The sequence below is a fragment of the Homo sapiens genome, chromosome 22 (genome assembly GCF_000001405.40).
Source record: "Homo sapiens chromosome 22, GRCh38.p14 Primary Assembly".
Lineage (NCBI taxonomy): Eukaryota > Metazoa > Chordata > Mammalia > Primates > Hominidae > Homo > Homo sapiens.
This window is the reverse complement of record NC_000022.11, coordinates 39,130,413-39,154,473: the sequence shown is the minus strand read 5'-3', so window position 1 is coordinate 39,154,473 and position 24,061 is coordinate 39,130,413. Positions and strand designations below refer to the sequence as shown.

At 56.3% G+C, this 24,061-nt stretch overlaps 1 protein-coding gene across 3 annotated transcripts, besides 17 other annotated features; it reads left to right on the top strand.

Annotated features, from left to right (window-relative positions):
• Window positions 1,488–2,057: a silencer, noted in NCBI's record as "silent region_13746". NCBI's record gives its function as "represses an Ori minimal core promoter by ATAC-STARR-seq in GM12878 lymphoblastoid cells {active_cell/tissue: GM12878}" and the evidence as "EXISTENCE:reporter gene assay evidence [ECO:0000049][PMID:35858748]".
• Window positions 1,488–2,216: a biological region, named in NCBI's record as "H3K4me1 hESC enhancer GRCh37_chr22:39548263-39548844".
• Window positions 1,635–2,216: an enhancer, noted in NCBI's record as "H3K4me1 hESC enhancer chr22:39548263-39548844 (GRCh37/hg19 assembly coordinates)". NCBI's record gives its function as "activates a minimal SCP1, AML or CMV promoter by ChIP-STARR-seq in naive H9 embryonic stem cells {active_cell/tissue: H9 hESC(naive)}" and the evidence as "EXISTENCE:reporter gene assay evidence [ECO:0000049][PMID:30033119]".
• CBX7 (chromobox 7) lies at window positions 1,794–23,702 on the top strand. Of its 3 annotated transcripts, none has more exons than NM_001346744.2 (6): window positions 1,794–2,098; window positions 4,642–4,685; window positions 13,038–13,103; window positions 15,772–15,838; window positions 20,001–20,073; window positions 20,426–23,702. In NM_001346744.2, exons 1-6 carry the CDS (start codon window positions 2,030–2,032, stop codon window positions 20,581–20,583), a joined length of 477 nt encoding a protein of 158 aa, NP_001333673.1. In that variant the 5' UTR covers window positions 1,794–2,029; the 3' UTR covers window positions 20,584–23,702. The 3 variants fall into 3 exon arrangements, with proteins under 3 accessions (NP_001333673.1, NP_001333672.1, NP_783640.1); NM_001346743.2 differs by having other exon boundaries at window positions 19,722–20,073; window positions 20,429–23,702; NM_175709.5 differs by having other exon boundaries at window positions 19,722–20,073.
• Window positions 2,128–2,177: a silencer, noted in NCBI's record as "silent region_13745". NCBI's record gives its function as "represses an Ori minimal core promoter by ATAC-STARR-seq in GM12878 lymphoblastoid cells {active_cell/tissue: GM12878}" and the evidence as "EXISTENCE:reporter gene assay evidence [ECO:0000049][PMID:35858748]".
• Window positions 5,252–5,850: an enhancer, noted in NCBI's record as "H3K4me1 hESC enhancer chr22:39544629-39545227 (GRCh37/hg19 assembly coordinates)". NCBI's record gives its function as "activates a minimal SCP1, AML or CMV promoter by ChIP-STARR-seq in primed H9 embryonic stem cells {active_cell/tissue: H9 hESC(primed)}" and the evidence as "EXISTENCE:reporter gene assay evidence [ECO:0000049][PMID:30033119]".
• Window positions 5,296–5,590: an enhancer, noted in NCBI's record as "tiled region #533; HepG2 Activating DNase unmatched - State 9:DNaseU, and K562 Activating non-DNase unmatched - State 23:Low". NCBI's record gives its function as "activates a minimal TATA promoter and a strong SV40 promoter by Sharpr-MPRA in HepG2 and K562 cells {active_cell/tissue: HepG2 | K562}" and the evidence as "EXISTENCE:reporter gene assay evidence [ECO:0000049][PMID:27701403]".
• Window positions 5,631–5,770: an enhancer, noted in NCBI's record as "active region_19034". NCBI's record gives its function as "activates an Ori minimal core promoter by ATAC-STARR-seq in GM12878 lymphoblastoid cells {active_cell/tissue: GM12878}" and the evidence as "EXISTENCE:reporter gene assay evidence [ECO:0000049][PMID:35858748]".
• Window positions 5,851–6,449: an enhancer, noted in NCBI's record as "H3K4me1 hESC enhancer chr22:39544030-39544628 (GRCh37/hg19 assembly coordinates)". NCBI's record gives its function as "activates a minimal SCP1, AML or CMV promoter by ChIP-STARR-seq in primed H9 embryonic stem cells {active_cell/tissue: H9 hESC(primed)}" and the evidence as "EXISTENCE:reporter gene assay evidence [ECO:0000049][PMID:30033119]".
• Window positions 8,374–8,613: a silencer, noted in NCBI's record as "silent region_13744". NCBI's record gives its function as "represses an Ori minimal core promoter by ATAC-STARR-seq in GM12878 lymphoblastoid cells {active_cell/tissue: GM12878}" and the evidence as "EXISTENCE:reporter gene assay evidence [ECO:0000049][PMID:35858748]".
• Window positions 8,734–9,023: a silencer, noted in NCBI's record as "silent region_13743". NCBI's record gives its function as "represses an Ori minimal core promoter by ATAC-STARR-seq in GM12878 lymphoblastoid cells {active_cell/tissue: GM12878}" and the evidence as "EXISTENCE:reporter gene assay evidence [ECO:0000049][PMID:35858748]".
• Window positions 8,734–9,763: a biological region, named in NCBI's record as "H3K4me1 hESC enhancer GRCh37_chr22:39540727-39541516".
• Window positions 8,963–9,752: an enhancer, noted in NCBI's record as "H3K4me1 hESC enhancer chr22:39540727-39541516 (GRCh37/hg19 assembly coordinates)". NCBI's record gives its function as "activates a minimal SCP1, AML or CMV promoter by ChIP-STARR-seq in primed H9 embryonic stem cells {active_cell/tissue: H9 hESC(primed)}" and the evidence as "EXISTENCE:reporter gene assay evidence [ECO:0000049][PMID:30033119]".
• Window positions 9,694–9,763: an enhancer, noted in NCBI's record as "active region_19033". NCBI's record gives its function as "activates an Ori minimal core promoter by ATAC-STARR-seq in GM12878 lymphoblastoid cells {active_cell/tissue: GM12878}" and the evidence as "EXISTENCE:reporter gene assay evidence [ECO:0000049][PMID:35858748]".
• Window positions 18,395–19,372: an enhancer, noted in NCBI's record as "H3K4me1 hESC enhancer chr22:39531107-39532084 (GRCh37/hg19 assembly coordinates)". NCBI's record gives its function as "activates a minimal SCP1, AML or CMV promoter by ChIP-STARR-seq in naive H9 embryonic stem cells {active_cell/tissue: H9 hESC(naive)}" and the evidence as "EXISTENCE:reporter gene assay evidence [ECO:0000049][PMID:30033119]".
• Window positions 19,479–20,162: an enhancer, noted in NCBI's record as "H3K4me1 hESC enhancer chr22:39530317-39531000 (GRCh37/hg19 assembly coordinates)". NCBI's record gives its function as "activates a minimal SCP1, AML or CMV promoter by ChIP-STARR-seq in naive H9 embryonic stem cells {active_cell/tissue: H9 hESC(naive)}" and the evidence as "EXISTENCE:reporter gene assay evidence [ECO:0000049][PMID:30033119]".
• Window positions 20,163–20,847: an enhancer, noted in NCBI's record as "H3K4me1 hESC enhancer chr22:39529632-39530316 (GRCh37/hg19 assembly coordinates)". NCBI's record gives its function as "activates a minimal SCP1, AML or CMV promoter by ChIP-STARR-seq in naive H9 embryonic stem cells {active_cell/tissue: H9 hESC(naive)}" and the evidence as "EXISTENCE:reporter gene assay evidence [ECO:0000049][PMID:30033119]".
• Window positions 22,487–23,048: an enhancer, noted in NCBI's record as "H3K4me1 hESC enhancer chr22:39527431-39527992 (GRCh37/hg19 assembly coordinates)". NCBI's record gives its function as "activates a minimal SCP1, AML or CMV promoter by ChIP-STARR-seq in primed H9 embryonic stem cells {active_cell/tissue: H9 hESC(primed)}" and the evidence as "EXISTENCE:reporter gene assay evidence [ECO:0000049][PMID:30033119]".

The window sequence follows — 24,061 nt, the reverse complement described above, 5'->3', positions numbered from 1 at the left end:
TGAATCACAAAATATTCGAATTTATAGCTATCGTCTATTTGTCCCCTCCCTGCCCCGTCTTGTATTTATTTTTCTCTCCATTCTTGCCTGCTTTACAGTTGTTTGGGTTGGTTTAATCATTCTTTTTCCTCCTCCAATAATTTGGATAACTATACACAGTATTTCCAGTCCTACAGTGTTTATCCCAGTAATGACAATCTGGATTCTTAAATTCGTCAAAGTGTATTTGGTATCTATCTTCACCTTCCTCCTGAAGAATATAAGGATCTTAGAACACTTTAACTCCATTCACCCAAGTAAATGCCATCACTGTTGTGTATTTTAAATCTGTTTTTATCCAGAAGTCATTGTTATTGTTTCACACTATCGCTGTTCTTCATTTTTCTTTATTCCCAGTTGCATCAGACCTCCGTCTGGGATCATCTTTTTCCTGCCTGAAGTTCCAGCTTTGGAATCTCCCTCCGGAGGGTCTACCAGTGGCAAACTCTTAAGTTTTTGTATTTGTAAGTGCTATGATTTCACCTACGTTCTGGATACATGTGCCTCATACTGGGTACATAATTCTTGAAATACATTTTCACTGAATATATAATTCTAAGATGATGGTTATTTTCTCTCTGGCTTTGTTGCTCTTGATGAAAAGTCAGGTGTGAATCTATTATTCTCTTTTTCTATGTGCCAGAAAGAGGTGTTGGATTTTATTGTGAGGGAAATAGGGAGGAAAATTTTTAAGCACAGGGTGACCCCGTCAGATCTGCATTTTAGAAGCACACTCTGGCACTGTGTGGCTGAGATCGGAGGGAGGGCAGCTCCGCGAGGTCTCTGCTGTGGTCCAGAGAAAAGACGGGGCGAACCTGGGAGGTGGGTGCGGTGAGGGCAGGCAGACCCGAGTCCCCGAGGGGATGCCGGAGCGACAGAAGTTGGGGTCAGTACAGGAAGGAGCAGGGACGACGCCGGGCTCCCAGTGAGGAATGGAGGCGCGTTAGCGAAAAAGGAAGGGGGGTGGGGAATCAAGAGTTCGTCTCGTGCCACAAATGGTTGAGCCCCCACTAAGCACCTAGCGCCCAGTACACGCGGGTTTGGGGAAGGCTGGGGCAGCGCGGCGGCAAAATCCGTCCCCGGGGGACCTCAGCTCCACCGCGGCCGCTCCTGCCGCGAACGAGGGCCCGGCCCGGGAGCCCTCGAGGCAGCGCCCGCGTCTGACCCGTGCGTCTGGGCACCGACCACCGAGGGTCGGGTGGATGGACAAATGGAAGGGCGGATGGAGGGGTGGGTGGACGGACGTGGAGACACTGGCCAAACTGCGCCGCGGAGAAGGCCGGATTAGGGAGACCTCGGCCCTGCGACGTCCGGACACGGTGGGAAGCCTTTTGGGTCCCGGCTCTCCTGCAACTCGAGGGGCTGCGCCTCGGGCCCAGTCTCCTCCGCTGCGGGAGGTGAGCAAATGGCCTCCCCGCTCTGAGCCTTGACTTTGTCGTCGGCTCCACTGGGCCCTGCCACTTCGGCCCCTGGCAGTCACCGGGAGGCTATGAGGCGCCCGCCTGGGTATTAAGGATCACGTCCCGCCCCGGCGTCACAGCAAGACGGGGCGCGCGAGCCTCCGCCCCGCCCCAGCCGGTGACCGAGCCAAATAAGTCCCACGGCAGCGCTCGCGGCTCGCGGCCCGCGGCCCAATCGCAACCCGCGGGGGCGGGCCCCGGGGGCGGGGTTCCGATGGGGGCGGGGCTCGGGGGCGGAGCTGACCCTCAGGGCGCGAGCCGAGCCCGCGGCCGTTCCGCGCGCTCCCGCCCCGCCCCCTCCTTGCGCGCGCTCGCTCGCTGGCGCCGAGGAAAACGTTGCGCAGGTTCAAAAATGGAACGTCGGCGGCGTGAGGGAGCGCGAGGGGGTGTGCGCGCGTGCGCGTGCGCGTGCGCGCCCGGACGAGGGTGACGGGGACCCCGCCAGCCCCAGCATCGCGCGCCGCAGCCGCGGCCCCGCAGCTCCGCCCCCGGCCCGGCCCGGCCCCGGGCCCGCTCGCCCGCCGCCCCGCATGGAGCTGTCAGCCATCGGCGAGCAGGTGTTCGCCGTGGAGAGCATCCGGAAGAAGCGCGTGCGGAAGGTGAGGCTGCCCGGGGGCGGCTCCCAGGACCCCAGTGGGGTCCCTCCCGTCCCCAGCACCGCTCCCTCCACGCTGGGGCTGAAGGGGAAAGCGGGGCGCGGGGGCCCCGGCAGCCCTGCGCTGCTGGGCCCGTCTCCCCAGCCCGTGCCTCAGTTTCCCTGCCACCGTGTAGGGCGAGTAGAACAAAAGTTGTCGCTCCAGGATGCTAGTGGCGGCCGAGCCTGCCTGAGCTGGAGATTAGGATCGGACGTAGGGATCCTCAGCGCCATCCCACCTCGCTCCCCTTTTATTGTAAATATGGGGAGACTGAGGCCCAAGTTGAAAGGACTTGCCTAGCGCGTTATGGTCAGAGCTGGGTTTTGAACTCGGGACTCTGGACGCTTGGCACCAAATCCTTTCAAGTTGTAAGTGGAGCTTTGGAAAAGTCTCCTCCGGCCTCTGAAGTTTTTCCTGCTGGACTTTGGCCTTTTCCGATCCTGCCCCCTCTACGCCACCCGAGCACATCCCTATTCCCCGCCCCCACCCCCACCTCAACTCCTAGCCCAGGCCAGGGCTCTGAAGCCCGCCCCCTGCGCTGGGGCATCCCCTAGTCTCCTACCCCATCTGCCTTCTTCAAAACATACACCCTGCAATTTAAGGAGGTGTCTGTTCTGCTGGTTTCAGAACCCCACACTTTGGGGCTAGACTTTGTCCGGGCCTGGCGTCTACACCTCCCGTGCACTTGTTTGGCGAGGGGGCTCGCCTAAGGCTGGGGAAATCCTTGGGGAGAAGTTCCTTTCCTGGTACGCACTACTGTCCTTCCTTTGTCTCCTCCTCCCTGCAGCCCTTTGGGAGGCTCCAGGCCGACTGGGAGGGGCCTTAGGGGGTCACCTCCTCCCATTTAACAGAGACAAAAACTGAGGCCCAGGCAGAGGAAGTGACCTGCTCAAGGTCACCGAGCAAGTTAGATAGGGAGGTAGAGCAGGAGCTCAACTGGGCTGATTGGCAGCCCATCTTCTTTCTCCATAGAGAAAACTCAGTCCTGGCATCTCGGGCCAAGGGTGAAGGTCAAGGTGGTCAGGAGCATCTTTTCTTCCTCCAGCTGTGCTTGGGGTTTTACTCTTCTGATTGAGGCAGCTGTTCCTCCTCCTTCTCCTTTTTCCTAGGGTTTTCTCCACTTAAAAGAGAATTGATTTATTCCACAAAGCTCAGTGCTTTTCGTGCTGTGTAGCCTGAAGCAGGCACAGCACTAACTCCCTCTACGATGGAGCCCGCAGGGTAGCACAAGAGGGCGAGATCATCATTCCTTCGGCCAGTCACTCAAAATATTTATTGAGGGTTGGTCAGGTACCAGGCACCAGTCTAAGCCCCAGGGATCCACCCCTTCCCTCAGGGAGCTGGCATTCTGCAGAGGCGGCACACAGTGAATGAGGAGATACAGACAGATGCCTTCAGATGGAGCTGTGTGCTCTGCAGAAATAGAACTGCAAGGTGCCAGTGGAGACAGCATGGGAGAGGGTCACCAGGGAAAGCCTCTGTGAGGAGGTATCATATTTTGGTCTTAAAGTTCTGGCGTGCAGGGGCTTCACTCACAATGGGGTTGGACTGTAAACTTTTTTTTTTCTTGGCACCAAGATCTCACTCTGTCACCCAGGCTGCAGTGCAGGGGCATGAACATGGCTCACTGCAGCCTCAACCTCCCCGGCTCAAACGATCCTCCTGCCTCAGCCTCCTGTGTAGCTGGGACCACAGACAAGTGCCACCATGCCCAACTAATTTCCTTTTTTCAGAGACAGGGGTCTCACCGTGTTGCCCAGGCTTGTCTCAAACTCCTTCCTGGGCTCAAGCGATCTTCCAGCCTCAGCCTTCCAAAGTGTTGGGATGACAGGCTTGAGCCACCGTAACTGTAAACTTTTAAAGCCTGTGAGGAAGGGAGGGGCCTGGCTCTACTTTCTAACAACCACAGGGCTGACCACCCCTTCTGAAGGTGGAGACTTTGCCAGTCTTCCATGGGGTCCTGCCAGGGTCTTTTGAGTTGAGAGTCCTCAAGTCACTGGCCCATTACCTCTGAGCCAGAGGCAGCCACTCACAGACTGAAAGGGGACTCAGCAGATGGGGGAGGAGCGTGGGGACTACCCCAGAGAGGAATGTTTTCGTATTTGGAGACTCTTCCAATCTAAAAAAGAAAGTAAGCGTTCCCACCTGTGCACTGGGGCTCTAGACACTGTGGGTCTTTGGCCACGCATGCACACCTCCATGCAGTCTCAGCTCCCAGTGTGTGACATGAGCCCTGGGCTTGGGCCTCAGGAGCCTCAGAGGTGGCTGGAGCCAGACGCACTCCTGTGCTGTCCTAGGGAGGGCAGTATGGGGCGGGCATGCAGCAGTCGCGGTTATATGGGTTGGCGAGGATCTGGTGGACAGTCCCCGGATTGTGTTTGTGTGTTGGGGAGACACCTGTCTGCAGATGGGATTTGGAGCTGGGCTCCTTTGGGCCTTAACTGTCCTTCCGAGTGGCTGTAGGGGCAACCACGAGACTCACTGTGTCTGCTTCTCTCTCTTCTCAGGGTAAAGTCGAGTATCTGGTGAAGTGGAAAGGATGGCCCCCAAAGTAAGCTCCTTCATGTGTGTGTGTCTGTCTGTCTGCCTACCGACCCATGCATTCCTCCACCTGCCTTTTGCCCCCTCCCCTGCCTAGCTTTTAGCTCCAGCTACTCTTGTAACTGGACAGCTGACCTTGATTTAATCATCATCTTCTCTGGGCCTCAGTTTCCCCCTGGACCACAGGAGGGTCAAGGTGGGTCTCCAGCTTCTCTTCTCACCCTGCCCTCCTGAGTGTTGAGCTCCTCTGCTAGTTGGAGCTTCTGCTCTCCCTCCTCCCCTCCCTGTGGCTTTTCTTGGCAACTGGGAGGTGAAGGCCCAGCATCCGGGCTACTGGAGATGGCTGCTGGACAGGAGGAGGGGACCCCAGCTGCTTTAAGCACAGTGCTGCATGAGTCCTCAGTGCTGTGTGGCCAGGGGCAGAGCCTGAATCCCCCTCACCTCTAGACGGCACTTTCCAGTCTATAGAGCAGGTTCCCATACAGCTTTGTAAGGTAGGTGTGATCAGGCGCTCTCAAGGTGAGGAAACAGGCTCAGAGAGGGTAAGCAGCTTGCCTTAGGTCACACAGCAAGTGGAGGCAGAGTTGGGACTTGAACTAGGCCTTCTCCTTTTCAGGTGTCTCCTCTGTGCCTTCCCAGCCTCCCATCTCGGAGTTGGGAGGCAGGGAGCTGTATCTGAGACCTCCCAGCTTCTCCACCTCTCCTGCTGAGGCCCCATCAGGAACCCACCAATGCCCTCCAGCAGGGAGTTGTTGGGAGGGAATGAGCTAGTCGTGGGGCCTCCCCATTGGTCTGTGGGTGCCCCACCCCCTGCCCCGCCTCCCGGAGACTGAGTCCTGGAAACCCCCTCTGCCCAGAGCTGCTGCTGTCGGGCAGGGACTTTTTGCTGTGCTGGTGGGGGCTGACCTGGTATGGGGTCCTGTGGGCATTCTGGGGTGATGGTGGGGAGAGACAGCAGAGAGGAAGACAGCCCACAGTGCCTCAGCTTCCCTCTCTGCAAAATGGGTTCAGAAACCCAGGCCCTGCACTCATCTCACAGGCTTGGTGGCCCTATCGGATGAAAGGCCTGGGCACATGTTCTGGGTGACCTGTGGATATCCTGATGACAGGGGTTGGGAGCTGGCAGGCCGAGAATACACTCCACCCCTCACACCAACCCCCACTTCAGTTCTCCCTTCCCGAATATTCTGAGGGCTGAAGGAGAATCCCTCCCCCGCCACACCCAGCTGCTAGAAGGTGGGCTTCCAGCCTGAGTGAAGGGGGCAGTAAAGGGAGTGACGATGCCCAGAGTGGGCAGCAGGAGCACCGCCTCCCTGGGCGCGCACACCCCTGCCTCTCTCGCTTCGCACCAGGAAGCTGTGGCCACCAGCTGTTAGCCTTCAGGACACTATTGGCTATTTTTCCTCCTCTGGAGACTCCACTCTTTGGAAGATTCTCTTCTGTAAACAGAGGCCGTTATGAATGAAAAGTTCCTTCCCCCACTTTGATTGATCCTGGATGTGAATCCATCTGCCCACTGCAGCTCGTCAGGAGGGAAGGAACGAGGCTCCCAGAGCAGAGGCCCTCGATGCTTCTGTTGCGCTGTGCCCCTAGCCTGGGGACCCATTTGTTTCTTAACATGCTGAGGCCACCAGATGGGCCCTCATGGCTGCCTCTTCTCACCCCCCTCCACTTTGGTCCTGGGTTCTAGGCCTGGCTGCCCACCCGACAGGCATGAGCCCTGGGACAGGGCCCCACCATGGCTGGGTCTCTGCTTCCTCATCTTCGAGTTGAGATGGTGAAGCCTCCTTTGCAGGCTACTGTGAGGGTGAGAGGGTGGATGTAATTGAGCGAATGCATGTTCAGCCCAGTCCAAGTGCTTTAGTAAACATTTGGTTTTAAGATTAAGTTAGATAGATAGCCTAGCTGTTCTTTTTGTTTTCCCCAGTCAGGAAAGGGACCTAAGGGATTCCATTCTTCTCAGGAGTGCAAAGTATCCTTAGAAATCATTTAGGCCAGTCCTCTGATTTTTCAGATGGGGAAACTGAGGCCCAGAGAGGGTTGGTCCTTAAAAAAATATAACTGCCAACCCCATGCACTGTGGTGCCCACTTCATGCCATCCACAGTGCCACCACGGTCTGGGAGTGAGGCAGGTATGGCTGCTAACCATCCCCACCTCACTTGGGGGAAACAGAGGTTCACTCTGGGGGAGAAGCAGGGGAGCCAGCTCTGTCTTCCCCTCCTCGGGGGCCCTGCTTGGAGAAAAAGCTGAGAAAGAGGGTGGGGGGTGGGGAGTTAGGCAGGCTGTGTCCTCCAGGCCTGGGAGCCTTGGCTGGGCAGTGCCGGCCTGGGTGGGGTAGTGATTCTCCTGCTCAGCATCTGCCCTGTAGGTGGGGAGACTTACATTCTTCTCAGTAACAGTAACAGGAACCATGATTTAAATGGACACTCTAGGATGGGCATGGTGGTTCATGCCCGTAATCCCAGCATTTTGGGAGACTGAGGTGGGCGGATCACTTGAGGTCAGGAGTTCCAGACCAGCCTGGCCAACATGGCAAAAACCCCGTCTCTACCAAAAGCATAAAAAATTAGCCAGGCATGGTGATGTGCGCCTGTAATCCCAGCTACTTGGGAGGCTGAGACAGGAGAATCGTGCCACTGCACTCCAGCCTGGGCAACACAGTGAGACGCCGTCCCCCACAAAAAAAAAAAAAAAAAAAAAAAAAAAAAAAGTGGACACTTTGTGCCAGGCCTAGGCTAAACCACTACATGCCTTGCCTGTTTTATCTCCCCAGCAAACAAGTGTGGCAGAGGGGCTCTCTTGCTTCTTCTGGAAAGCACAGCAAATGGCACAGGGAGGGGCTCGGGGCCCGGGACAGGGAATGTGACATTATCAGGTACAGGTGCCAGCTGTGCCTGAGGCCTCCAGATAACATTTCAGCCTGTCCAGGGCCCTGCTGTTCCCCCTTCCAGAATGACTTCCTCTCTTCCCCACTTGTGAATGGTTCTCCATCGTTTTGGAAGGAGTGGCCCTATGGAGTTTTAGGAATGATGTCAGTGGTCACAGCCATGGCCAGGCTGTCAATAAGCCCCTATTATGAATCAGGCATTGACTCTTTGAACCACTCATAGCAACCCATTTTACAGATGGAGAGACAGAAGCCTACAGCAAATGAGGCCTTGCCCAGGGTCATAGAGCTGGGCAGATGTGAACTACGGGCTGCCTGATACACAGGCAACTCCACTAGAGATGACTAGGACTCTTGCCTGCTGGCCTTTTGGCCAGTTCAGTGAGAAGTGCTGAGGCTTTCCACCTCTGAAGGTTTACAGCTGTGTGACCCAGGGCAAAGCCCTCAACCTCTCTGTGCCTCACTTTCCCCACCTATAAAAATGAGGCCCTAACCTCACAGGGCCCTGCTGAAGATTGCCTGAGACAAGACAAGATTCATTAACACCCTGCCAGGGGCAGAGTGGGAGCTGTCTCCACCCAGGCTGGGGAGACTGGAGTTAGGAGCCGCAGACTTTTACGCTCCCTGGGCTTTTCATTGATTTAACTCAGGCTTATTTGCCTTCACTGTGTACCACACTGATCGAAATGCTTTCCGTGGCTTAACACATCTAATCTTCACTACAGCCCTATACGACTGGGGTTACTGGTGGGCCCACTTTAGGATGAGGCCCCAGAGCGGTGGCGTCTCCTGAACGAGGCCGCACCCCGCAGTCTGGACCAGAGCCCGTGCTGTGTCTTCTGTGCAGCAGCTTTAAATCGGAGTGGGGACTGGGGCTTGGGGGTTGGCCTGGCTCTGCGGGGTTCCGGGTGGTTCCACCTGCCCCAAGGCCGCCTGCGTCACAGCTCAGCAGCGCCTCCAAACCCCGCTTCCCCCGACCCCCCGGGAAAGGCCGGCGGGGGTCCTGCACCCGCTGCGCCCCTTCCCACTGCGTGCCCTCACCGCAGCAGGGCGAGCCCTGCGCGGCGGGGCTTTGGCTGGGCGGCCGGGGCTTGTTTACCCGGCCGTGGGGCGGGGCGGGGAGGTCACGTGGCCGTGTTTATCTCGGAGCCGGCGCGCGCCGTCCCTGTCCCCGCCCCCGCCCCCGCCCCCTCGGTTTGCCGGTAATCCCGGCGCGCGCCCCTCCCCGTGCGTGCGTGCGCGCGGCCGGCGGGGGCGGGGCCTGGCGCTCCGCCCCCTCCCACGGGGTGATCGGTTCCCGCCCCGCCGGCGCCGCGAGCCCAGTGCAGACCCCCGCAGTCCCCCGGTGTCCACGCCGCGGTCCGCGCAGCCCAGGCAACGAGCGTGTCCCCAGAGCCCTGGCTCCTTTCCACTCTCCCTCCCCTGGTGTGGGAAGGGTGTCCTGGGACTTGCGGGAGCCCGCTTTCCTCCAGGCACCCGAGGGTCTCCGATGGTCGTGGGGTCTAATCCCTTCGATCCGCGGCGCCCACGCTAGTGGCGCGCTCCTGGGTTGCCAGCGCCCGGCTCTTCGGAAGCGCGTTCCCCTTGGCGCCTCTGGGCTCCTGCACTGCGGAGGGCGCGGCGCGGTGCGGCGCGGCGTCCTCCTTACCGGCTGGGTCCAAACAATTAAGATGCTGGTGCCGCCCCTGCCCCCCACTTGGGGCTGCACTCGGCAGCCAAGTGCGACCCTGTTATCTCAGACCCAGCTGCCCGGGCCGGCAACCACCCCTTCTGCATCCAGCCGAGCCTTTCGGGGCGCTCACTGTGCGCCGCGCCCTGCGGTCGGACACTGAGGACTGGAGAGGGGGCGACGCCCCCTCCCGCGGGCTGCACAGTCGGGGGTCCCAGACGCGGTGGCCTGGGAGGAGCCTGAAGGCGGAGTGTGGCCGAGAGCCAACACGGGCCGGCCACTGACTGGCTCAGTGACGCTGGGCTGGCTGCCCAACCTCCGTGTCTCAGTTTCTCCATCTGTAAAATGGGGGTAAGAACTAAGCACCTACCTCGCCAGCGCCTTTTGAGGATGGGTGCGGTCCTGGCGGTCCCGGCCGCACACCTGCTGTTACTGTAGTGGTCATTATTCTTGAGATGAGGAAACTGAAGTTCAGAGAAGGGTTGGGACCTGCCAGGATCCACACAGCAGGGACATCAGCAAGCAATGGGCAGGGCGGTGTGGAGGAGCACGCTGTGGAGAGAGGAGCACGAAATTCCCCTTCCTACCAGTTAGAGTGAGGAGATTCAGCCTTTTCCGGGGGGAGGAAGGGTTAGAGTGTCTGCCAGCCTCTCGTGGCTTCTGCTGTAGTTTCGCTTTCGGCATTCTGCAGGGGCTCCCCAGCCCTTCCCAGAGCCCCGGGCGGGCCTGAGCGGGCCACTTTGCGGTGGCTCTGCGCGCCAGGGTGTTTCCTGGTCCATTAGTGATTATGGCCAAGGCTAGGTATAGCTGTAAGGAGGGTGGAGGAGGGGCAGGCTCGTCCTGCTGGCAGTGGGACAGCCTGGGAGGGATGTCAGGGAAGGCTACAAATACCTGACTCTTAAGGGTCGGCTAGGAGTTGACTGGAGGGATGGGGCACCCAAAGGGAGGGAGGGCCGGCTGGCAGGGGGCACATGGGAAGGGGCAGCCCAGGCTCAGGGCTTCACTGCGAGCCCATAGAGGCCCGACACCAAGTGGGTGTGCCAGAGTGTTAGAGGAAGCAAGGAGGCGAGCATTCTGTCGTTGGGCAGCATTTTGGGACTGAACTAGCGTTAGGTAGTTCCCGGGATACTGTAAGGTAGAGGCCTCAGCTCTAGGGATTGGGAGGCGGCAGGGCAGGGGCTCTCCCAGGCTCTTTCTGCCTTTTAACCCCTCGCTAACGCCCATTGCCTTCCGTCTTACCTAGCAGAGCCTCTGGCCAGGACCATAGGGCATCGCTTTGCTTTTGTCTGTATGTTTTATACACAGTCACACGTCGGTTAATGACAAGGATACATTTTGAGAAATGCATTGTTAGGTGATTTCATTGTACGAACATCAGAGTGACCTTAGGCACACCTAGATGGTACAACCCACTGCACGCCTGGGCTGTGTAATAGAGTCTGCTGCTCCCAGGCTACAAGCATGCACAGCGTGTGACTACTGAATACATCCAAACGTAGAAAAGGTGCAGTAAGAATACAGTGTAAAAGATAAAACCTGGGACACCTTCTAGAGCACTTCCCAGGCACAGAGATTGCGGGGCTGGAAGTTGCTCTGTCACCCAGACACATGTCACTCACTGTCGATGAGTGGAATATGAAGACCTGGTCTATTGTCAACATTGTACACTTACGCTACACTAACTTATGCAGAAATATTTTTCACATTGAACACTTAGGCTACACTAATTTATACAGAAATATTTTTCTTCAGTAATAAATTAACCTGAGCTTATAGTAACTTTCTTACTTTATAAACTTAACTTTTTAAACCTTTTTGTCTCTTTTTGTAGTAACACTTAGCTTAAAACATAAACATGTATGGCTGTACAAAATATTTGTTTTATATTCTATAAGCTTTCTTCTATTTAAAAAAGTTTAATTTATTTTACTTTTAAAGTTTTTTTTAATTTTAAAATAAAATTTATATTTTTATTTTCATTGTTTTTGAGCTGGAGTCTTGCTCTGCCATCCAGGATGGAGTGCAGTGGTACGATCTCGGCTCACTGCAACCTCTGCCTCCCAGGTTCAAGCGATTCTCCCACCTCAGCCTCCCGAGTAGCTGGGATTACAGGCGCCCGCCAGCATGTCTGGCTAATTTTTGTATTTTTAGTAGAGATGGGGTTTCTCCACGTTGGCCAGGCTTGTCTCAAACTCCTGACCTCAAGTGATCTGGCCACCCAAAGTGCTGGAATTACAGGCGTGAGCCACTGTGCCCAGCCTTAAAGCTTTGTTTTTAAAACCTAAGACACTGGCCTTAAAGCTTTGTTTTTGAAACCTAAGACACAAACACACACATTGGCCTAGGCCTACACAGGGTCAGGATCATCAAGACGTCACTAGATGACAGGAATTTTTCAGTTCCGTTGTAATTTTATGGGTCCACCATTACATGCGCAGGCCGTCACGGACAGAAATGTTATTCGGCACTTGACTGTACATATATTGTTTTTAATGGAAAAGTTTTTATGTTTGCGTCGATGGTGAGTGATACTGGTTTTTCCATTTATGGAAGTCATAGTTTGCTTTTAAAATAATTTAAACCAAAAAAGCTCCTCTAAAGGCAGATACGAAGTAAACAGGAGTGCTAGTGGAACGAGGGTGTGGTGGGTGTCACCACGGTGGTTCCACAGATAGGTGAGCTCTGGAGCCGCTGCGCTGACATCACAGGGTCTGCCCCAGCAGGAGGGTGCTCCCTGGCTGGGTGGCGAGGGTAGAAGATCCCCTGTAGCATTACCCGGGGGCCTGCGCTAGGCCTGCTGAACCATTCAGCCACTAGACATTTACCAAATACCTGCTGTGTACCAGGCCCAGAGACAAGGGAACTTCAGACCTGGCTGTGGCCTGGGTGGGGTGCACTGAAGAGGGAGACTATGCTGGGGATGGGGATGGGGTTTGGAGGGCGGGGAGGAACAGCAACAGCAGCAAACACAGTGCGCTGACGACACATCAGGCACGCTGTTACTCTTGTAACACCCTCTAAACACTTGGAATACACATCTCATCAGCACAAGAGTCCTTTACAGAGGGGGACATTGAGGCACAGAGCTGTTCAGGAAGTTGCTCAAGGTCGCACAGCTAGCTAGGGGCAGAGATGGACTTGAACCCAGGCCGTGAGCCTGTCCCCAGAGCCCTGGCTCCTTTTCATCCTCTCTTGCCTGGTGTGGGGCTTACAGGCGCCCTCTCTCCTCCTGGCACCCGAGGGTCTCTAGTGATTGTGGAGTCTAACAAGGAGTTGGACCCAGTCACATTGTAGAGTGATATGAACCAGGACAACTCTGGTGTTGCTGGAGCCCTCAGGAGGCCCAGGCTGGGTCTGTCCTTGAAGTAGGTGACAATGACACCTTACCAGGACAGGGTGAAGGCACACTTGCAGTGGGCACTGGGTCAGCAGCAGTGGCCTCTGCTGGTGCACCTGCCCAGTAGAAGCGATGGCTCTGACCTTTTTTTTTTTTTTTTAGAGTCTTACTCTGTCACCCAGGCTGGAGTGCAATGGTGTCATCTTGGCTCACTGCAACGTCTGCCTCTTGGGTTCAAGCAATTCTCCTGTCTCAGCCTCCTGAGTAGCTGGGATTACAGGCATGCACCACCACGCCCGGCTAATTTTTGTATTTTTAGTAGAGATGGGGTTTTGCCATGTTGGCCAGGCTGGTCTTGAACTCCTGACCTCAGGTGATTTGCCCGCCTCGGCCTCCCAAAGTGCTGGGATTACAGGCATGAGCCACCGCGCCCAGCCCCAACTCTGACCTTTCATTCCTCTCCCCAGGTACAGCACGTGGGAGCCAGAAGAGCACATCTTGGACCCCCGCCTCGTCATGGCCTACGAGGAGAAGTACGGTGTCCTCGGCACCGCCGGGTGGGGCTTAGGGCCGGCTCAGAGGCTTCCCAGGAGCCTGCTGCTGGCTTGGCAGGGGTTGTTGGGGCAGGGCAGGGGTGTCCGATGGGGCAGGCCAGCCCAGCCTGCAGCTGGGTGAAAATGGTGGGCACTGAGTCCCAGGGCAGCTGAGGACCCTGGGGCCCTTTCCTGTTGTTGGGTGATCTCGGTCACTTCCTTTACCCACCCGGGCCTCAGTCTCTCTGCTGTCAAATGGGCCACCCTGAAGAGTACACCCATTTCCCAGGGTGAAACCTCAGAGGGGCCGTAAGAGGTTTCTGTTCCAGTGAAGAATGTTAAAATGCTTCACAAAGATGCCCTGTGTGCTAGGAGGCGGCACTGCCAGTTGTGCGGGGGTGACAGATCAGAGACGGTGTCTCTAGAGGACCTCTTAGGGCAGGAAGGAGTGTCTGACGAAGCTCAAGGAAGGCTGGGCAGGAGCGTGGGCTTTGGGGCTGGGATTTCTGAGTTCTGGCCTGTCCCCCTGCCACCTCCTGTCCAAGTGGCCCAGGCACAGTCTCCCACCTCTGCCAGGGCCCCTCAGGGAAGCTGGGCACACCCTAACAGTTCTGTGTGCCCTCTCTGGCCGCCCCCCCCACCAGCAGGCAGCCCAGGTCCCCTGCCTCTCCCAGCCCGCCTGCCTTGTGCGGCTTGGGACCATTTCACAAAATCATTTGTATTTGGCCCCTATGGCAACCTCCTGAGGCAGGAATGAGGGTTTTGTTTGACAGAGAAGGAAACTGAGGCTCTTACCTGGAGCCCAGAGCAAGGACCTGGCCAGGGCTGCCACCTCCAGGTGGGGGCTTTTCCACTGCCCCTCGCTGCTGGGTTCTTCTGGCTCCTTCTCCAGGAGATTTCCTGCCATGGATTCAAAAGACAAATTTTATTGTTCTTTCCTTTTAAAATCAGGGTGTCCCCATCCCAGGGTTTCTTTCTGCCTCCCAGGTGTGTGGTGGGGCCTTGGTCCAACAGGGTGCGACACTTGGGAATCCCATGGAGCGTGGTAAGGAGAGCAGTGGACAGGTATCAAAGGCCCGGATTCTAGTCCTCCACCAGGGACACTTTCCCTTTGGTCCGTTGGTGTCCTGCTGGGGATGGATGCTCAGTGGATGGTCAGACATTTGCAATAGGTGCCGTGGGGTTCATTGGTATGTGCTAAGCTCAGAGTAAGAGCCTGGCCCAAGGTCACACGAGGCCTCCACATTCTTTCTGTTGTCCACGTGACCTCTGTACTGGGGGCTGCAGAGAGTGTGGATGGAAAGAACTGAAGTGGGAGGCAGGATGAAATGACTGAATCTCCTCATTACTTTTGGCAGTTGTTTGGAGTCTCTGGTTGTGTTGTCTTATGTGTCATGTGTAGCTTCGTGGCATTGTCAAGTTGTGCTTTTTTTTGTTTTTTGAGACAGGGTCTCACCCTGTCTCCCAGGCTGGAGTGCAGTGGTGCGATCTTGGCTCACTACAACCTCTGCCTCCCAGGCTCAAGCAATTCTCCTGCCTCAGCCTCCTGAATAGTTGGGACTACAGGTGTATGCCACCGTGCCTGGCTAATTTTTGTATTTTTGGTAAATGGGGTTTTTTGTTTGTTTTTTTTTCTTTTTCTTTCTTTCTTTTTTTTTTTTTTTTTTTGAGATGGAGTCTCGCTCTGTTGCCCAGGCTGGAGTGCAGTGGCGCGATCTCGGCTCACTGCAAGCTCCGCCTCCCAGGTTCACACCATTCTCCTGCCTCAGCCTCCCGAGTAGCTGGGACTACAGGTGCCCGCCACCATGCCCGGCTAATTTTTTTGTATTTTTAGTAGAGACAGGGTTTCACTGTGTTAGCCTGGATGGTCTCGATCTCCTGACCTTGTAATCTGCCCGCCTCAGCCTCCCAAAGTGCTGGGATTACGGGCGTGAGCCACCGTGCCTGGCTGGTAAATGGGGTTTTGCCATGTCACCCAGGCTGGTCTCAAACTCCTGAGCTTAAGTGATCCACCCACCTCAGCCTCCCAAACTGCTGGGATTACAGGCGTGAGCCACCGCACCCGGCCTGAGTTGTGCTTTGTGTTTTTGATACATGGGAAGGCATCTGCTGGGCACTCAGAACAGGCTGGTTTTCATCCTGTCCCCCGACAAGATGGGACAGACAGGGTAGGAGCCGGTCCGCTCTCCCAGGTTCACAGAGATCCCAAATTCGGGGGAGTCTGTGCAGAGCTTTACTTGCAGAGGGACTAGCCATTCCCATCAGCTCTCCTGGGACATTCAAGGTAAATTGGATTGACAGGCTTCTGTATCACTCCCCTAGGAGGAAAAACTGAGCCACGTTTTTAGGGGGTCCTTAGGAGCACGTAGAGCAGAGCCCGCACATGGCCCTGGAGCCCCTTAAGGACCCACTGTTTTTGGAGATGCTGCAAGTCCCCCCTCAGCAGTTGCCCTCCACGTTTGTCAGATGGGAAGACCTTGGCCCTGGGAGTTGAACATCTGACCCCGTTGTTATGGCCCCAGCCAGGCAATGGGGAGGATTGGTGGGCAGGCCTGTGGGGAGTGTCCCCTCCCTGACAGACAGCAGAGGGCGGGCGAAGCGGATGCCTTCCCTTCCCTTAGATGTCACCAGTGTTTCCTTTTCTTCTGCCACCTGCTTCACACCCCAGGGAGGAGAGAGACCGAGCATCGGGGTATAGGAAGAGAGGTCCGAAACCCAAGCGGCTTCTGCTGCAGGTAACCAGCCTGCCTTTGTGCCTCCTTTCTCCCCCTGCCCAACCCCAAGTCCCCCTCTGCCCCTTGGTGCATTTGCACTGGCTGATTGAGCTGATCTGTGTCCCCTCGCCTGTACCACCCAGGGCACTGTGGGGTGGGGCACTTGGGTAAGTTTTGATGGGAGGAATTGGGAAAAGCCTGCGTGTGGGGCTGGTGCCCGGGGAAGACAGCCTGGGTGGGCGGTGCCACCTGGGAGGGGGAGTAGGCATATGGCCAGTGGAATCCTAGAATTCTCAAAGCTTAGAATCTTGCTGTAAGGAAGCCCTGAAAGCTTTGAGCCTTTCGATGCTCAGAATCCCTAAACACAAAATTATCACTGAGAATCTCAGAAACATAAACTTGAGAATTGAGGAAACATGAGAGGCTGGAGTTTCAGAATCTAAGAAACAGAATCTTTTTTTTTTTTTTTTTTTTGAGACGGAGTCTCGCTCTGTCGCTCAGGCTGGAGTGCAGTGGCGCGCGATCTTGGCTCACTGCAAGCTCCACCTCCCGGGTTCACGCCATTCTCCTGCCTCAGCCTCCCCAGTAGCTGGGACTACAGGCGCCCGCCACCACGCCTGGCTAAATTTTTGTATTTTTAGCAGAGACGGGGTTTCACCGTGTTGGCCAGGATGGTCTCGATCTCCTGACCTCATGATCCGCCCGGCTTGGCCTCCCAAAGTGCTGGGATTACAGGCGTGAGCCACCGCGCCCAGCCAGAAACAGAATCTTAGAATTGTAGAACTACAGCCTTGGAATGTCAGACCCCTAGAAGTGTGTCATTTTTGAGTGGGCCTCCTGTTCCAGCCTTCAGTCAGTTGGGGACCCAAGTCTCTGCAGCATCCCGGAGTACCCACGTCGTAGGTCTTGGGGGCCTTTCCTGACCTCAGTGCTTTGCAGTGACAGGGACGTGGATCTTGGAGCAGTGCAGTCACAGGTTGAGTCTCCCTGATCCAAAATCCAAAATGCTGCCATGTGCGGTGGCTCATGCCTGTAATCCCAACACTTTGGGAGGCCGAGGCGGGTGGATCACCTGAGGTCAGAAGTTCAAAACCAGCCTGGCCAACATGGTGAAAACCTGTCTCTACTAAAAATACAAAAATTAGCTGGGGATGGTGGCGGGCACCTGTAATCCCAGCTACTCAGGGGGCTGAGACAGGACAGTCACTTGAGCCCGGGAGGTGGAGGTTGCAGGGAGCCAAGATCATACCATTGCACTCCAGCCTGGGTGATAAGAGTGAAACTCCGTCCCCTGCCGCCCCGCCCCCCCACCCCAACAAGAAAAACAAGATCTGAAATGCTCCAGAATCCAAAACATTTTGAGCACCAAAATGATGTTCAAAGGAAGTGTTCATTGGAGCAGTCTAAATTTCAGATTTTTGGATTGGGGATGCTCAGCTAGTATATATAATGCAAATATTCCAAAATCCTAAAAAAATTCGAAGTCTGAAACACTTCTGGTTCCAAGCATTTCGGATAAGGAATGCTCTGCCTGTGTGTGGTTGTAGGTAAGCCTCTTCACCTGTAAAATGGGTATGAAGAGAATACCCGCTCTCCTTAATGTAATAAGACCCACCAGGCAGGATATTGGAAGCCAGAAAGTCAGGATTCTTGGTCCACTTGTATGTGGTCCATGTCAAGCGTCCTTGGCCACTCCTGATTAAAACCCATGGAGGCTTTCGCCAGAGGGGGTGGGCCTCCCTTCATGCAGTGGGCATGTTCCATTGGGTTTGGCATGAATTGAGCCTAGGAAGGGAAGTAACATCTCCTGGACGTCTGTGTGCCAGGCTGTCTGCCCAGTGTGCCTCACAGATGAATATACTCCATCCACATACTAAGCCTACAGGGCAGGTGTGTTCGTTATCTCTTCCCCTCTAACATGGCAACTCAAAGCAATAAACATTGATTATTTCACATGGCTTCTGGGGGTCAGGAATTTGGAATTGTGCTAGCTGGTTCTTCAGTGGTTCTAGTCTGGGCTGCAGTCAAGGTGTTGGCTGGGCTGCAGTCATCTGCAGGCTCGACCAGGGCTGCGGGATCTGCCTCCGAGGGGGCTGCTCACGTGCCATCGAGTCAGGGCTGGACGTTGACAGGGACTGGTCCTCACCATGTGGACCTCTCCAGAGGGTTGCTTGAGTGTCCTTACAGTGCAGCCACCAGCTTCCCAGAGTGGGTGACCTGAGAGAGAGAGCAGGGAAGAAGCCACAGTGTCTTTTATGCCCTAGCCTGGGAAGTCACACAACACAGCACTGGGTGTGGGAATGGACGGCGCATAGGTGTGAATTCCAGGAGGTGGGTGTGGTTGGGGCCCTCCTCGGAGGCTGGCTCCTACAGTCTCTTCATTGTTTCGCTGAGAAAGAAACTGAGGCCCAGGGAGGCCGGTAGCTTACCCAGGACCTGACTGTTGGCACCCGCGTCCCTTTAGTAGCTGTAGTTCTCTCGTGATGAGGTTGCCAAGGACGTAGAAGACCCTGCCTTGCAGAATGGTAGAATGTACTGGGCTTCTTTTTTTTTTTTTTTTTTTTTCCCAGACAGAGTCTCGCTCTGTCGCCCAGGCTGGAATACAGTGGTGCGATCTCTGCTCACTGCAAGCTCTGCCTTCTGGGTTCAAATGATTGTCCTGCCTTAGCCTCCCAAGTAGCTGGGATTACAGGCACCTGCCACCACACCCGGCTAATTTTTGTATTTTTAGTAGAGATGGGGTTTCGCCATGTTGGCCAGGCTGGCCTTGAACTCCTGACCTCTGGTGATCCAGCTGCCTCGGCCTCCTAAAGTGTTGGGATTACAGGCGTGAGCCACTGTGCCTGGCCCATACTAGGCTTCTGATGGCCTGTGAGCCCGCTGGGAGGAGTGGGTTTTGAGTCAGCTGCCTACCAGATGTGCCTCCCAGGCACTGCAGTATTTTCCCAGTCCCCTCCCAGTTTAGCCCTCCTCCCATCACTGCAGCAGCCGGCACCTGGGGACATGTGATGCCGTTAACAGGCACGACTGTGAGTGGGACCTGCGTGTGTCATCCCTTCCCTCAGCTTGGAGGTGTTTGACCTCACAGGTCCCATCTGATGGCTGCACTATCTTCCTGGGAGCTCCTGACCTCTGGTAGCAGGTGGCAGGAGAAGGTACTGTCCCAGTGATCCAGAGTCTCCCAACATCTTGGCACCATGAATCTTTTGTAGATTCATGTAAATTCTCCCCAAGTAAATAAGATAAATCCCGACATTACAAACTCCAGGGGTGGACAGACTTGCCCTCCAGCTCCAGATGTGTCGCGGGCAATCAGCAGAGCGGGCTGCAATCACAGAGCCCAGGAGCCCCCTGGAGGGGTCGGGGTGCATCTGCAGGCCAGGTGGAGCCCTGTCCCTTTGGCTGGATAGCATGGGCATCCGGGGCTGTGTGTGCTGCTGGCCTGGCTTTGCCCCAAGCAACTCCAAGAGCACACCTTGGCCCTCTGCCTGCACCATCTCCCGGGTGAGCTGGCAGTGTCAGTTTTGGAGGTGCTCTGGCAAGCAAAGATGCCTTTCCTAAAACGAAGGCTAACTCCTTAATGCATCCAGATTTGTTTCTCTTGGCCAGTTTTCAGTTTGTCCTTCTTGTATGCTTCTCTGCTGGGTATCAAAGGAGTAAACGCTGGGACGCGAGTGCTCTGTGGGGCCCAGAGGCAGGGCTGAGCTGGCCGACCCTGGGGTTGCCCGGGGCGCACTCTCTGGGCTGGGGTGGGGTGGGGTGATGGCCAGCCGTGGCATGGGAAGGAGTTGAGTGGGTAGACATGGCATGGGAAGGGCATTCCGGGTGGGAGGAACAGCATGAGCAAAGGTGTGGCGGGTGGGAGGGTGGGGCTGACCCGCGCTGCCCTGGCTTGCCCCCGCAGCGGCTGTACAGCATGGACCTGCGGAGCTCCCACAAGGCCAAGGGCAAGGAGAAGCTCTGCTTCTCCCTGACGTGCCCACTCGGCAGCGGGAGCCCTGAGGGGGTGGTCAAGGCGGGGGCACCTGAGCTGGTGGACAAGGGCCCCTTGGTGCCCACCCTGCCCTTCCCGCTCCGCAAGCCCCGAAAGGCCCACAAGTACCTGCGGCTCTCGCGCAAGAAGTTCCCGCCCCGCGGGCCCAACCTGGAGAGCCACAGCCATCGACGGGAGCTCTTCCTGCAGGAGCCACCGGCCCCAGACGTCCTGCAGGCGGCTGGCGAGTGGGAGCCTGCTGCGCAGCCCCCTGAAGAGGAGGGTAAGGCGGCCCCAGCCCAGAGACCCTCAGAGCTGGAAAGGGCCCTATGGGTCATAAGGTCCAGCTGGTTCAATGTCCAAAGAGGGCCTGTAGTGCTTTGTGGGGCCAGTCGGGTCTGGGCTCAGGGCCCAACACTAGCCCAGGGCTCCTCCTGTCGTCCCGCTCTGGCTGAGCTCTTGTCTAGGTGGGGAGGATGCACCCAGTGCCCTCCTCCCAAGTGTCCAGCCCTGTGTGAGGCCCTGAGCTGACTGAAGACACAGAGAGGAGGAGCTGGAGTTGGGGTCGGGTTGGGTGGTCTGCATGGCTTCCCACCTTGTCAACGCTGCCCCCATCTGTGTGTCTGACGCTGCAGCAGATGCCGACCTGGCCGAGGGGCCCCCTCCCTGGACACCTGCGCTCCCCTCAAGTGAGGTGACCGTGACCGACATCACCGCCAACTCCATCACCGTCACCTTCCGCGAGGCCCAGGCAGCTGAGGGCTTCTTCCGAGACCGCAGTGGGAAGTTCTGAATCACCGTTTTTACTCTTCTTAAACTGTTTTCTTTTGGGCTTGGGGTGGGACTTCCAGAGATAGGGATGGGTTGGGGGCGGGGTAATTATTTTATTTAAAAAAATACCGAGCAGCAAAAGGGGAGAAGATCCCACTACTCTCCCACCACCTGCCCTTTCTCTGAGGGACGTTTACCACGAGGCCTCAGGCTGGGGATGGAGAGAGTTGCTCTGGGAGTTGGGGTACCACCCCCAGGGCAGGATGGGGACAGGATCACCTGCCCGGGACACCACCATTATCATTCTCCTCTAGTGACGCAGCAGCTGGTTCTGGGAGTTAAAGGAGCATTGGAAGGCCCAAACCCTCTCCCTTGAGTGGCCACCCCAGCCTGGTTGGCTGGTTTTCCCCTTTTCTCTTGTTTCAATTGGGTCTTTACCTTGAACTCTCCTCTCTGGCTTTGCGGTGGGCTGTGGAGGCTGGTTTTGACCAAAAGTGAGTGGGGCGGGAGGAAGGGGCAGGAGGAAGGGTTGAGGTTACTTGGGGCGAGTCCCTTCCCCTTCAGAGAGGCTTCTATCCTTCCCAGGGAGGAGGCGCCGCTGAGACCCTTCTGCTGAGAGCTCTGCCCTCCCCTCATCACCTGGCCTGTGCAGAAACGCTCATGCACACCTGGCTGCACAGGTGTGCACGCATTACCCTTCGCGTGTACGTTCCCATGTGCCCCGTGAAAGCATGTGTGGCTGCAGACGTGTCCACATGGGCCTTGCGAACCTGGGTTAGAAACCCTGGCCAGGCGAACGTGGGGTGATTCACAGCACAAAAGACCTCACCACCACACCTGCACTCACCCCACCTTGCATGCACCTTGCTACCTGCTTGCGGCTTTCAGTGGAGGGCAGGGGTCTGGCACAGGTGCGATGGCACCCCATGCTCCAGGCATACAGATGTGGTTTCTCGGCTGCACCGGGCCAGGCTGCGGGTGTGCAGGCGTCTGCTAAGTTGTGTGATGTATCAGCACAGGCTTTGAGACGTCTGGACCCTGTCCTTCCTCCCGTGAGGGGTTCTTGTTCTTTCTGACTCAGGTGACTTTTCAGCCCTTCCAATTCCCCTCTTTTTCTGCCCTCCCCTCCAACTCAGCCAACCCAGGTGTGGGCAGTCAGGGAGGGAGGGAGTGTCCCACCACGTTCTCAGGGCAGCCCTTGACTCCTAAGCCCCTTCCTCCTTCCATTCTGCATCCCCTCCCCATCCAACCTAAATGCCACAGCTGGGGCTGAGCTGTATTCCTGTGGAGGGACCTCTGCCGTGCCTCTCTGAGGTCAGGCTGTGCTGTGTGATGGGCAGGCTTTGCCCCAGCCCACCCCTGGCAAGGTGCACTTGTTTTCTGGTTTGTACAAGGTGTCCTGGGGGCCCGTGGCTTCCCTGCCAGTGAGGAGTGACTTCTCCCTCTCTTCCAGTCCTGTAGGGGAGACAAAACCAGATTGGGGGGCCCAAGGGGAGCATGGAAAAGGCCGGCTCCCCTGTCTTTCCTTGGCTGTCAGAGTCAGGGTAACACACACCAAGAGTGGAGTGCGGCCAGCAAGTTTGAGACCTGCCCGCCCTCCTCGCAGCTCTGCTCTGTGTCCTCAGGAAGTCACAGAGTCTACTGAGGCAAGGAGAGGGTGATTCTTTCCCCAAATCCCTTCTTCCCTGGTTCCCAAACCAAAGACAGCCTGCAGCCCTTTCTGCATGGGGTGCTCTGTTGACAGGCTTCCCAGATCCCTGAGTCTCTCTTTCCTTCCTCCTCGATCTTTAGTTGTCCACGGTCAATTCAGTGCTTCCATTGGGGGACAGTCCCCTCCGGGATGACCTGATTCACCTCCAGCCCAGGGAATGGAATCTAGAGGAATACGTGGGGTGGGTCTGGACAAGGAGCGGCAGGAATCACCACCCATCTCCAGCTGTGGAGCCCTGTGGAGGGGAAGGGGAAGCTTGGGGTTCAGAGGGGACTCTTCCAGGAGAGGGGTGCCCAGCGGAGGTAAAGATGATAGAGGGTTGTGGGGGGTCTCTAGTTGAATGTTTTGGCCCATGACTTTGGAACATGGCTGGCAGCTTCCAGCAGAAGTCACGCTCCCCATCCCCCAGGGGACATAGGACCTTTTTCCTGCTTCCTGGTCACTTTCAAAGAACTATTTGCGCAATCTGTGGGTCTGTGGATTCACGGGGCTTTCTGTGTGGGTGCTGCAGTTGCTTTTGTCTGCAGCAGCAGGACACATCTTTCCTCTTACTCAGCCCTTTATGGCCCATGGGGAACTCCGTGGCTCAGGGAGAGCTGAACTCCAGGGGTGTGACCTGGGACGGGTGGGCCTGAGGTGCCCAGCTCAGGGCAGCCAGGTGGCTCATGGGCTGTAGTGAGCCAGCTCCCTGGGGGAAAAGGCTGTGGGCCGTTAGGACCATCCTCCAGGACAGGTGACCTCTATGAGGTCACCTACGGCTGTGGCCGTGCAGGCCTCCTTCCAGCCCAGAGTGGCCCAGTAGAGCAAGGCAGACAGTGACCTCCACCCCCGCAGCCCTCTTAAAAGGCCAGTACTCTTGGGGGTGGGGGGAGGGTTTAGAAAGCATTTGCCCATCTGCCTTTCTTTCCCCCAGCCCCCACCCGCTTTGAATGTAGAGACCCGTGGGCACTTTTCCTTTTGTGGTGGGGGGTGCGGAGGAGGTACCCCCACCCCTGGCACAGCCGCCTGGAATGCAGGACTGTCACTGCTGTTCGGGTGATGACCTCGTTGCCAAGCTCCTCCTGTCCCCTTGTTCTGGGGGCAGGCGCTGTGCTTCTGTGAGGTGGTTTAGCTTTTGCTTTCGAAGTGGCCAGCTGCGGCCACCAGGTCTCAGCACAAGAGCGCTTCCTTTGCACAGAATGAGCTTCGAGCTTTGTTCAGACTAAATGAATGTATCTGGGAGGGGTCGGGGGCACGAGTTGATTCCAAGCACATGCCTTTGCTGAGTGTGTGTGTGCTGGGAGAGTCAGAGTGGATGTAGAGCGCGGTTTTATTTTTGTACTGACATTGGTAAGAGACTGTATAGCATCTATTTATTTAGATGATTTATCTGGTAAATGAGGCAAAAAAATTATTAAAAATACATTAAAGATGATTTAAAAAAAAGAAAATTCCTGGGCATTTGATTATTCCTTCTGGTGGTTGTCAAGTGCATCCGTCCACCAACAGACTTTGTGCGAGCAACAAGGCTGTTTATTTCACTTGGGTGCAAGTGGGCTGAGTCCAAAAAGAGTCAGCCAAGGGAGATAGGGGTGGGGCAGTTTTATAGGACTGGGGTAAGCAGTGGAAAGTTACAGTGAAAGGTGGTTAGCTATTGTCAGCAGGGGAGGGGGTCACAAGGTGCCTGTTGGGGAGATCATAATACTCATTGTCCGGAAGAAGGTCACCAGGTCGATCAGTTGGGGCAGGGCAGGAACAAGCCATAATGGACCTGCAGGCCATCTGGATGTATATGTGCAGGTCACAGGGG

What these genes read in the sequence shown, in the direction of transcription:
- CBX7 (NM_175709.5), top strand. Translation starts at nt 2,030, where the DNA reads ATGGAGCTGTCAGCCATCGGCGAGCAGGTGTTCGCCGTGGAGAGCATC. An exon ending in TGGAAAGGATGGCCCCCAAA is followed by an intron (nt 4,686 to 13,037) that starts GTAAGCTCCTTC and finishes TCCTCTCCCCAG; the next exon opens with GTACAGCACGTGGGAGCCAG. An exon ending in CCAAGCGGCTTCTGCTGCAG is followed by an intron (nt 15,839 to 19,721) that starts GTAACCAGCCTG and finishes TTGCCCCCGCAG; the next exon opens with CGGCTGTACAGCATGGACCT.